General features: G+C 42.1%; 1 pseudogene, besides 1 other annotated feature; it reads right to left on the reverse strand.

Moving 5' to 3' along the window:
• Nucleotides 4553–4612: an enhancer, noted in NCBI's record as "active region_28568". NCBI's record gives its function as "activates an Ori minimal core promoter by ATAC-STARR-seq in GM12878 lymphoblastoid cells {active_cell/tissue: GM12878}" and the evidence as "EXISTENCE:reporter gene assay evidence [ECO:0000049][PMID:35858748]".
• On the reverse strand, nt 8052–9468 carry IL6RP1 (interleukin 6 receptor pseudogene 1; annotated as a pseudogene).

Below are 12245 nucleotides of genomic sequence, written 5' to 3' on the forward strand. Positions count from 1 at the left end.
ACTTGGGCTTGTTTCAGGACTAGAAAGTTGCAAGGGAATTGAGACAGGTGTGGGTGGGTCCTTTTATTCAATGCACTGTCTCCTGCAGGCTAGTGAGGCCCGAAATCAGAAAAGGAGCAGTTTGCTCCAAAGGTTGCTGTCTTTACCCTTGTGAGCTGGGCATCATCAGCCACAATCTCTGACCTTTGTGCTTTTTCCAGACAAGTCTCAGAAACCAGGTCTCATGGCTCTCAAGTTCCAGGAGGGATAGCCAGTGTCTCTCAGTGGTGTCTGGAAGCCCCCTTGCTTGATGGGAAGGGTGAATGCAAGCGCCCTCCTCATCCTGATGGAGAGTGCATAGTGGCACAGTGACAGCTTCTGAAGAATTATGCTTTACTATGCCAGCCTTTTTCATCATTTAGACCCTGCAAGTGGGTGACTGGCCGAACCTGACTATCTTAGTTTCAAATTCACAAACCTTAGCTGGTTGTCCACAGTTGATGTAACTCCTTGCTTTAGTGTTTGGCATTGATTTCAATGTTCTAGACTGTGATGACTACTGTGGTACCACTAGCCACATGTGGCTTTTCAAAACTTAACATGCAGTTAGTCCTAACTGAGCTGTGCTGTCATTTAGAAACTACCAATTGTGATAATTTGGTAAGATAAAAATGTAAAAAATATCATCAATGCATTTTAGATTGGTTTTGTGTTAAAATAATAACACTTTGCATATATTAGGTTAAATAAAATATAGCATTAAGATTACTTTCACCAGTTTCTGTCTATATTTTTAAAATATGACCACTAGGAAATTTGAAACTACCTATGTGGTGTGTTTATACTTGTATTGTGTGGGCAACTGCTTTATCAGATCCAGCCAGAGTCCCATTTAAACAGGAAATTTTATCACCCAACCACCTTGAGGATCAGGGGATTAGTTCAGCCTATCTGATTAAAATATCTGTTAGTAGGTTGGACGTGGTAGCTCATGCCTGTAATCCCAGCACTTTGGGAAGCCAAGGCAGGCGGATTATGAGGTCAGGAGTTTGAGACCAGCCTGACCAACATGGCGAAACCCTGTCTCTACTAAAAAAAAAAAATACAAAAAATATCTGGGCATAGAGGCAGGTGCCTGTAATCCCAGCTACTCAGGAGGCTGAGGCAGGAGAATCGCTTGAACCCAGGAGGCTGAGGTTGCAGTGAGCCGAGATTGCACCATTGCACTCCAGCCTGGGTGACAGAGTGAGACAACGTCTCAAAAAAAAAAAAAAAAAAAATCCATCAGTAATTTCTAAACTACTCCCTGCGCTGACATCATGATGTTGTAGCACCAAGTTGAACTTCTATAGATGCTCACAGGTTTCAGGAACTTGCAACCAGGAAGAGCCTTGGTAAACACCCTAGGCTTTGGTTGGAACTCAGAAGTCTCCACCTTAGGAGTGAGAATGCCCTGGAAACAGCCCTCTCCAAAGGTTCAGGTTCCTGAATTCCTGGTTCTCTAATTGGATGAAGGTGATGCAGGAGTGCTAATGCTTCTTTTCCTAGCTTCCTGACAGAAGCAATATCTTCCTGCAGGAAGATTTTATCCTCTAGAGACCAGAATGAGCACTACAATTTTCTATCACCGTGTTTCTCACTCAATCAAAAATAATTGGGCATTCAAGGAGAGAAAACCTGACCCGACTAGAAAAGAAAAGAAACAATGAAAAGAGATCCACAGAACATTCAGATGATGAAGTTATCAAGCAGGGACATTAAAACAAATATAATTAATATGTTGGAGGCATTAAAAGACAGGATTGAATGCTTTAGTAGAGGACAAACATATAAAAAAATAGAATACACATACTGGAAATAAAAAAATACAGCAGCTGAAACTGAGAGAAATTAGTGGGTGAGTTTAACAGCCATTAGAGAGAGAGAAAGCGTGAACTAATGAAGTAGAAGGGAGATTTTTTTTTCTCTGACATTTTGTCAGAAAACGAAGTCATTACTGGAGATTTCTTTTTTTAAACTGGAAGCTTTATAACAAAATATGCTTTATACCGAAATATACCGAAAGGATACACTTTCTCCCCTCTGCTGTGTCAAAAAAGTTCTATTTTTTCTCATAATAGGTCCTCATACATGTGCTATTGTGTTCTTACTAAGTATTTGATAGGATTTTTGCTATTTGCTATCATGAATGGGACATTCTTAGTAAATTATTCTAAGATGTATTCAATTGATTCTCTTGAACTGTTAAAGTATAATCTTGGCTGCAAATCAGGATACGTAGTCTTGTTCTTTCCAACACACATGGCTGTTTCTTAATTTACAGATATGATCCCATTTCTAGATTAAACACTTGTGGTGAATATTTTTTAAATAATTATTAAATTTGATGTCTGCTGCAGATTTTGGTATATACATTTTATTGGGTTCAGAGGTTGTATTTTATCCTGGATTTCCTTGTTTGATTGTATAACAATGAGAATCGATGTCAAATTTTACCTATTGCTTTCTTTTCAGGAGATTTATTAAGATGTTCTAATTGCTTAATATAGTGGATTTTATCAATACACTTTCTAATAATCAGCCATTTTCTATTCCCAAGATAGTCCTTTAGGTCATGAGATATGATTGTTTCACTATGCTGCTGTTTTTTTCTTGTAGTTGCATCTATGGCAGTATTATTGCATCTATTTTAAGAAGTAGAGTTTGTCTACAGGTTTTGTTTTGTGTGCTATTCTCATCTACTTTTGATATCCAAATTATGATAGCCTCATAGAATAATGAACTTGAAATCTTTCCTCTCTCTGGAGAAAATCTGGAAGAAACAGAAGCCAACATTAAAATCATGTGTGCTGGATCTCGTAAAAAGCAGAATTTTCACATGACTCTCTTCTTCTTTTTCATTTTTCTATCTTAAAAATCCTCCCTACCTTTCTATAACTTCTTAATGCTAATGTTGCCAATTTAACCATCTTTAGGAAATAACTCATTTCATTTCAGTTTTCAAATGCATTGGCAAACACTTCAATATCCTTCCCCAAATTTGTAAACATTATATATCTGTAATATAATGTGTGCATGTGTTGAGAGAGAGATTAGATTTACTGAAATCTAAGTTGCTCTTGCTTAAAAGACATATAATTATTTTACAAATTACAAAGAAATAATAAAAGCTGCTGGCTGCCAGTTTACCTATAACAAATGCATTTTTGATCATTTAGAATATTTACTTTAAAATATTTGATAGAGATCTTTTACTTAGTCTTCTTTAGATGTGTAGAGTTCTGGTGCAGTGGTATGGTTATACACACATAAAAGGGAAAATATGCTGGTTAAAATGTCCCTAATGCGCCCTTACAGCAGGGCCCTCTGCTCTGAATTACTTCTGGAGCTGCCTCCTCCATTATCTCCCCAGCTCTTCTCTTGGCTCCATCCCTCCCCTCCTCTGGAACTTCTCTCCGCCACTGGGCTTTTCTCAGAAGGACATCTGGTGCTGAGGTCCAGAGTCCCACAGGCACTGTGTCCCAGGGCAGATGTGCCAAGTCCCAGGAGGAAAACTTCAAAGCTCCATTTTTTATGTTTCTCTCCTATGAGGGTCTGGCTGCCAAAGTCACCAGCCCTACGCAAGCAAGCTGAAGACAGAACCTGTCACCTCAAGGGATTCTCACAGTGTCCTTTCAGATTTGGTGTTTTCCCTGATAGGGAGGGAACCACGAGTCAGGGTCCTTTAGAGGCTTTTCACAAAGCCTCTCCTATGATAACCTTTGGTTTTATAGAAGCAACATCGAATTGTAAAATGGTGGAGTTAAAGTAACAAGCAACTTTAAAAGGCAATAAAATACCAAGATTATACCCTTAATGGAAGTGGCAGACCTAATGTTGAGGACTACTTTAAAGAAGGGTTATTTTGTTCTTAACAGATAACATGGAGACAGTGTAATACTTTCTTAATGTGCAATGAAGACCTAATTTTGAGGACTACTTTAAAGAAGGGTTATTTCGTTCTTAACAGATAACATGGAGACAGTGTAATACTTTCTTAATGTGCAATGACTCGAATTTATTGCTGGAGAAAAAGCACCATCTTAAACATTGATCTGAAGCATCTTATCTCACATGCTGGAGGTCTTGGAGTTGTGTGACTTCTGCTGTTCTATGTAATTACTGACGTGGCTTGAGGGGAAAGTGGGACTGCTCTAGTGGGGAGAACAGATGCAGAACCTGTTCTGGAGAACCTCACATACATTGAAGGTGCTGCTTTAAGAAAGTCCTGGCTGGGCGCGGTGGCTCACGTCTGTAATCCCAGCATTTTGGGAGGCTCAGGTGGGTGGATCATTTGAGGTCAGAGAGACCAGCCTGGCCAACATGGTGAAACTCTGTCTCTACTAAAAACATAAAAAATTAGCCAGGTGTGGTGGCGGGCGCCTGTAATCCCAGCTATTCAGGAGGCTGAGGCAGGAGAATTGCTTGAACCCAGGAGGCTGAGGTTGCAGTGAGCTGAGATAGTGCCACTGCACTCCAGCCTGGGTGAGAAGAGCAAAACCATCTCAAAAACAAAAATGAAAGAAAGAAAAGAAATGAAAGTCCTATGCTGAATGCCAGGAAAAGGAACCAGCACTGAGAAGTGCTAGCATGAGCCGTAGGAGGGAGTCAATGCCTAATGTTTGACTGCCAGTGAGGATAACAGCAGTACTGATTTTAGAGGATAATTTGGAGCATTAAATTAGGCTAATGTAAAATTGTCAGCTTGTCTGTTTCAATATTTTCATGCTCTTCTCATGTTTTGTTTTGTCTTGGCTTATGCACTGATCACCACCCCCCCATGACGGGGGTGGGGATACACTACTGTCAGTTTATAAAGATGAAGGAAAGCCAAATACCATCTGTGTCAATCCTACCAAGCTGAAAGGTTGCAGGATGGGGTGGTTGTGCCTACAGAGGAAAGCCTTGGGCATCAAGAAATCATAACCAATCACTTCTCCCCACACTATGAAGTGCTTAGCTATGGGAGAGGCATTGGGTAACAGTCCAATACATGTTAGCTGCATTGCTGTGTTGTTATTGTCATGAATGTTTGCTAATGTATAACAACTACATCCCTTTGATATCAGCTTATATTAAACCCACAATTACCCTAACAAGTTCTCATGTAATTTTGGGAAGAGTGTTAGACATCTGGTTCCAGGGACCTAAATAATGTGATTATCTCCTCATCTTTATAAATGGAGACCAACAGTTTCTAAAGATTTTGTGTCCCTCAAAGCAAATTCTTTCAGTTTTCTTAATGCAGAGGAGTAAAGAAAACAATCTCTTAGGAGTTTAGAAACAGGGAGCTTATGTTTATTTATGTATTTATTTACTTATTTATTTTTTTGAGACAAGGTCTCATTCTGTTGCCTTGGCTGGAATGTAAGGACATAATCATGACTCACTGTAGCCTTGAACTCCTGGGCTCAACAGATTTTCCCATCTCAGCCTCAGAGTAACTGGGATTACAAGTGCACACCACCATGCCCAGTTAATTTGTAAACATTTTTCTTTTTGTAGAGACGAGGTCTCACTATATCAATCAGGCTAGTTTCGAACTCCTGTCCTCAAGTGATCCTCCCACCTCAGCCTCCCAAAGTGCTGGGATGACAGATGTGAGCCATCTCACCCAGCCAATCTTTATTTTTCATTTTGCTTTAAAAAAAACAGCTCACACTTGCTTGAATTTTGTTAACTTGATAAGTTGCCTCAAGCAGCAACAGAGTCTAAAATGTACAGACAAACCCAGCAATGAAAATCACTGCTTGAGGAAGATTGTAACAGCTTGAACCTGGCAAACAGTAAATAAGACTGGGTCATTTTCATCCTTTTATACCCATCTGGTGGTGGTGGTTAGTTTTCTAAAAGGGTAGAGTACTCCGAAGTTTCTGTGGTCTGGTAAATTTTGGGTCTGTGGTTACGCGACTGATTTTAATCACATCTCTACTCTGGGATACCCCAATACCTGAGGGTTAACTGTCTGGGTACCCAGTAATATCACTGAATCTTCAAATCCTGGACAGAAAACTCAGATGAAGTGGTTAGTCACCGTGTCATGGCTGGACAGTTAATGGGTGCTTCATTCTAGCTGAGCTGAATCCAAGTCAAAGACCTAACCAAAAGGGGAGGGCACAGAAGTAAGGGCTTTTTTTTTTTTTTAATGAACTTCCCCTTTGACAGCTGAGGGCTCACAGATTTCAGGGGGGTGAATTTCTAGGACCCTGTCTGGTAGAAGGGGAAGACTTCTCAGCACTAGGACAGGGAGTGGGACACTCTTCCTTCATAACCACCTTGGGGAGTTCACAACTGCTTTTCCCCTAGAGAAGAGGCAGACTATAAATACAGAATGAAACTAGAATATTTCTCTAATAGGGAAAATTATTTTTTCTCCTCCTCCTTTTTCACTTGACTTGCTTTTGGGCTAAACAAGATTCCTCTGCTTCCCCCACCAAGTTATTTCTATACTGACACAGTGAATACTGGATCTTCCACCTTCCCAAGAGAAAGATGAAGGAAATTGGTGGTCTTTTAAAAAGGCAAATCAAAATGCATTCTTGCCAGGTTCTTTTATTTTTCCACATCATTTTCCCTAATACTAGAATATCTTCCCTAGCTACTCCGGTTCAGTTGAAAACAAAGCTGAAGTACAGCAGTTTTGATCTCAGTGTTGGTGGAAGCCCTCCCTACTGCCAGCTCTCCTTTGGGGAAGGTGGGAGACAGAGAACATTGATTTTCAGAGGCTGGGGTCCCTCTCAGCTTCCCTACTACAGGCGGTCCATGAAGACCCTGTCCCCTATTCTCCTCCTTCCTCTGCTTCTCTCCTCCTGAAGTCCTGAAACCCAAAGCCAATATATTTGCTTCTTCTGTATTCAGCAAATGCCTAGGATTATCATTTACATTTAGCAAAATGCTAATGAGGACCTAATTATAATTCCATATTTAAAACCATTAGACCCCGAGATACTGTATTATTCACTCACCCACCCCCCAGTTGTTTTTTAAGTGTGGGGAAGAAAGGCAGAAAGAGGTTCTTCTCTGGTCTAGGTGGTTTAAGTAAAAGCCATCCTCAGGCCCAGAAAAACAGAATTGCAAAGGCACTTAGGTTTCAGAATTTGAGCTGGAAGATGTAACCGCACAGGGGGCCAGGAGCAAGGTGACTGAGGGAGGCTTTGGCTGGAAATGCATCCCACCTGCCCAATGGTGCAGCTTGTGTACAAGTGTTGGGGGTGGGCAGCCAGCAGCTTCTTCACACAGAGGCCCCCGCTCCCAGCTGCCTGGCTCTGCCTGCCTGAGTGTCCAACAGCGTGTTGATACAACTCTCTTCATGGTGGCCTGAGCTCACTCTAACCCTCTTGAACAGGGCATTTGGGAAAGCAGGTTTAAAAACTCAACCACTTCTTCCTTCTGAATGGCTGCAGCAGCCTGATTTTCATGTGGCCTAGAACATTCTGCCAGGCTCTTCCACAACAGTGAAGCCGAAGGCCCCATGCTCTGAGATGAGCTGGTAGGGCAGTGAGAGGCAGCTTCTGCTGAGCCTGTTTGCACTCTGTCATCCACATGGTGCAGCATGCCTGACACCTGTGAAAGGAAAATAAGAGCTCAGGACCCCAGTTCACAGTGCCAAAAGGAAAAACATGAGCAGAAAGCTGAGGCATGCAAGAAGCTGCCTTTCCTTTTGTTCCTCAGCAGACAGCTACAGATCAAGGTGAAACATCTCCACAGTTAGCTGCTCTATGTTCACCATATCTTATGTAAAGTGCTGACTTACTGAGCCCAAGATTAATATGTCATGGACTATTCCTCTGCCTGCTCCTTTTCTCTTGCCACATGTGAATTCTGTTATGTGACCATAACCTCCCTCTTTCTCCTCCAGCCTGCTTGTCCCCTTTAAATACTCAAAAGCCCTCAAAAGCATCTTTGGAAAAAGACATAGACCAAACTGTTTCTATGATTCCGTGTTTGTTTCTTCCAGGCATGTTCTTAACATTGGCAAAATACACTTTTAAACTGATTGGGAGCTGTCTCAGATACTTTTTTGGTTTACGCACCCAACCTGCCAGGTGCCACCTGGCCTGCTATATGGGGAAGAAGTAATCTCTATTGCTGATGTCATAAGGCCTCCACGGGTCCCTGGCATCTGGTCAGCCGTGGCTGGGGGTGGTGTCCATTCCAAGGCTGCTGGGGGACACTGAAGGGAGATGAGAGGAACAAGCACTGGGGTGGTTCTAGGTCTCTCTAGGACCAGCCACCCCAAAGAACACAACCAGTGCATCCTGATCTTATCTTCTTTCAGACCCTGCAACTTCCACGTCTTCTTTAACCCAGAAAGCTTGTTGCATTTGCAGAATCTCTGGGGAGAATATTATCATCATCTTTATTAGTAGTAGGTGTTTGCATGGAGGTGGTCTCAGCTGGAGGACTCCTGGAGTCTGCCCAAAGGATTCCCATGACCTCTGGGCTCCACTTACTTCACAAGCCTTGCCCCAGCTCCTCCTGGGCCTGAAGCTGTGTCTGGTGCCTCATGCCTTTCCAGGTGTTGTGAATGACACACTGATGTTGGAGATCCTTGGCCATCCATGTTATGAACATTTTTGACTATTTAGCCAGGTATCAAAGCTCAAACCATAGTCTGTAGAAATATAAGTTCCAGGAGTGGGGGTCTTGCTAGGTGACGTTGAGCCAGCAGGGCTTTCTGGCCACAGCAATGACTGTGATGTTGACAGGTGGGTCGGACTGCAGGATTCCATAACCCTCTAATATTTGGGTTTTGCTGAACTTGCTCCCAATACTGTTGGTGACACACAGGGACACTGTATAGAAAGAGTAATCTCCCTCTGGCACTGCCAACTGGCAGAACTTCTGGGACTCCTGAGAATACTGACACGGCTCCTGGAAGAGTTCTGCCTGACAGTTCTGAAACTTTCTCAGCAATAGCACAGCTTTGACTCAGAACCTTGACTCCAAGGACTCTATTCACAACCAATGTCACTGAGGGGGCTCTTCCAGAAGCAGGAGAGCTGAGGCTCCTCAGGAGAAACATCCACCAACAAAGCACAGACCTGCTGGGCAGCCAGCCCGGCAGCAAGAATAGTTTCCAGAGTCGCAGAGCTGCACCAACCTCAGAAGCAGCCTCCTTCCCACACCAGCCCATCTGCTGGGGCGTGAGCCTGCGCTGGGAGTCCTGTGCAACCAGTGGACAGTGGCATGATTTTCAGGTTCTCCCTCTGGACAGGTCAGGGGAATGCAGTATCCTGGTCAGCACATCACTCACTGCCTCCAGCGTAGGGCAGCCTCTTGGGCCAGCACTGCCCGCAGTGTGGCCAGCAGCACTCAGCTGATGGCCAGCATGCTTCCTTCTTGGCTAATGCCCAGTGGTCCCAGAGAGGTGGATGGACTGGTGGGAACCAGGAGGCAGAGGCAGGGTGACAGGTGGGCAGGTGGGCTCAGGACAGGGGGCAGCCCCCATTCGGTTCCCTCTGGCCCCGCCCAGCCTGGCTCAGTAGGGGTCAGTGCGATTTCCCACTCCCATAACTTGGAGCAGTGACGGGTACTGACAATGCAGGAAAACATCTTGAAATTCACTTTGTAAAGTGACTTGGCTAGACCAATTTATTTTCCCATCAATAGTGAAAAAGAGGACCTGTTTCTTCCCAGTCTTGACCTATTAGTGAGATACGAAATGTTGATTTTTTGCCAGTCTAACAGGTATAATTTTAATTTGCATTATTTTATAATGATATTCTAGTATTTTCTGAACAATCTAAGTTCTTCATTTAATGAAGTAGAACATTTTAAATATTTTTATGAGTTTGTAAAATTTGAGTCTTGTTTAAAGAGCTTTCTCATCCCCAAGCTGATACAGATAACTTCCATCATCATCTAATAGTTTATAATTTTGCCTGTTATAATTGCTTATAATACTTTTATACTTTTTTACCTTGCTTTTTAGTTAACGTTCGAGGCTCCTTTCAATGTTCTCAACTCTTCAAACAAGTGTTCTTTCTGGAAAAGGTATTATTCTATTTTAAATTTTATCAGTTTTCTGCCTGCAGTTGGGAATACCATGCTAAGTGCTCTGCCTGGTAAAGTCAGTGTATATTATACTCTTTAGCACAGCTATAAGATCATTGCATAACAAAGACATGCTTTGCCTTCTAATCTCATAACAAAATGATCTACACTCCACTCTGGCTTGAAAGTGTGACTTTTGGAGTCCGCTTTTCTCCTCTTCTCTTGGCAAACGTAAGAAGATGCATTGAAATTAAATGACTAAAATGCCATAGGATGGCATCGCAAGCAGCGCTGGAAGGCCGTCACTGCAATTTGTAGTGCACCAGAGTGCAAGGCAAGGAGAACGCACATCTGGTCTTGGCCGCAGCTGCTCAGCCCTGTTGTTAGCGTTGCCCTGGGCGAGCAGCCATGAACAGTACACAAGTGAATGAACAAGACTGTGTGCCAATAAAACTTTACTTATCGACACCAAATTTGAATTCCACGTAATTCTCACATGTCATAAAATGTTACTCTCATTTTGATTTTTTAAAAAAAAAACCATTTGAAAATGCACAAATGGTTCTTCTCTGGAGAGGATACAAAAGCAGCAATTGCGCTATAGTTTGCCAACCTCTGCTGTAGGATAGCTTTTCCTACAAGAGATTTGTGCAATTATGCCTGCATCAATTATAAAGTATATTATGCTTTTCATACTAAGTGCAACTTCATTAATTCATTGGATAAAAATGTGTTCAGTGTCTGGCAAACGACAAGGAATAGACCAGGCGTAGGGATATGGCAGGAGTGAGCCGCTCAGCATGGCTGCCTTTACGAGGCTTTCAGTCCAAGCTCAGTACTATTTATGCATAAAGTTCCAGAAATAAATGATTTATCTTTGGACTTCCACTGAAATTAGTGGGTAAAATCAACAAATAGCCATTTCCAAAATGATACGTTAAGTACTGAGATAGAGGTAAGCACCACACCTTATATAAGCACATGAGAAAAATTCTAACTTAGAATGAGATAATAGAACCGTGAACATTTTTCCTAGAACTGAATATTGAGCTGCCTCTTGAAGTACAAGAAATATGTGTCAAATAATGGAGGAAGGAGCATGGTGGGAAGTAGCATTTGTAAAGAGAGATCAAACAGATAACAACATCAACCTAAATGTGGGATTGTAACATCCATTTTCTTAAGGGATTCCTCAGGATCAAGTGCAAGTTCAATCAGAACCCCAGTCTCTGGTTACATTTCTTTTCCAAGGAGATGGGGCAGCTCTGAGGACGGATGATTTTAGACCATACAGTAGGATAAATATCTAAGACTTATTAGGAAGAATAGAAATAAAATAATGTATTTTGGGTGTGGGGTTGGAGGTTCTGATTATTATTATTATTATTATTTTTGAGACAGAGTCTCACTCTGTCGCCCAGTGCAATGGCACAACCTCGGCTCACTGCAACCTCTGCCTCCGGGGTTCAAGCGATTCTCCTGCCTCAGCCTCCCCAGTAGCTGGGATTACAGCGCCACCACACCCGGCTAATTTTTGTATTTTTGTAAAGACGGGTTTTACCATGTTGGGCGGCTGGTCTTGAACTCCTGACCTCAAGTGATCCACCCGCCTTGGCCTCCCAAAGTGCTGGGATTACAGGCGTGAGCCACCGCGCCCAGCAGGTTCTGATTATCTTAAGCACTGTCCTGCCTCCTGCTGCTTTATAACCTCAACAAGCCACCTCCTTGCTGACAGATGGTGACAGAGCAGTTTGGATTACAGAACAAGTGGTAACGAGGGCAGTTTGTAGCAAGTAGAGTTGAGTATAGCAAGTACAGTGAGTTGTATGTAGCTCATTTTCAAAATAGCTCTCAGACTATTGATGAGAAAATGTACATCAATTTTGATACCTAAGTTTATTTTTGTTGCAGGAAAACAGTCACAAAATAATCAAATTATCTACAACTTTAAGCCACCATATTATTTTAGTTAATCTGGAATGTCAAATGGTTTGCTGAGGGTAAATATTAGCATTCCTACTGACTGTATGTTTGGAGTTTTTTCACTATAAAATTTGAGACATTCTTCCAAAGTGAATCCATGCATTTGTTATTATTTAGGATTAAAACGATGAAGGGCAATGATTTCTTGGTGTAATTACTCTGAGTAAATAATTGATAAAATAGCATATATCTTGAAGGATATTAAGGAAAATGCCCTCCAGACTCTATTTTCATAATGGCTAAAATAT

Source organism: Homo sapiens, chromosome 9, assembly GCF_000001405.40.
Source record: "Homo sapiens chromosome 9, GRCh38.p14 Primary Assembly".
Classification (NCBI taxonomy): domain Eukaryota; kingdom Metazoa; phylum Chordata; class Mammalia; order Primates; family Hominidae; genus Homo; species Homo sapiens.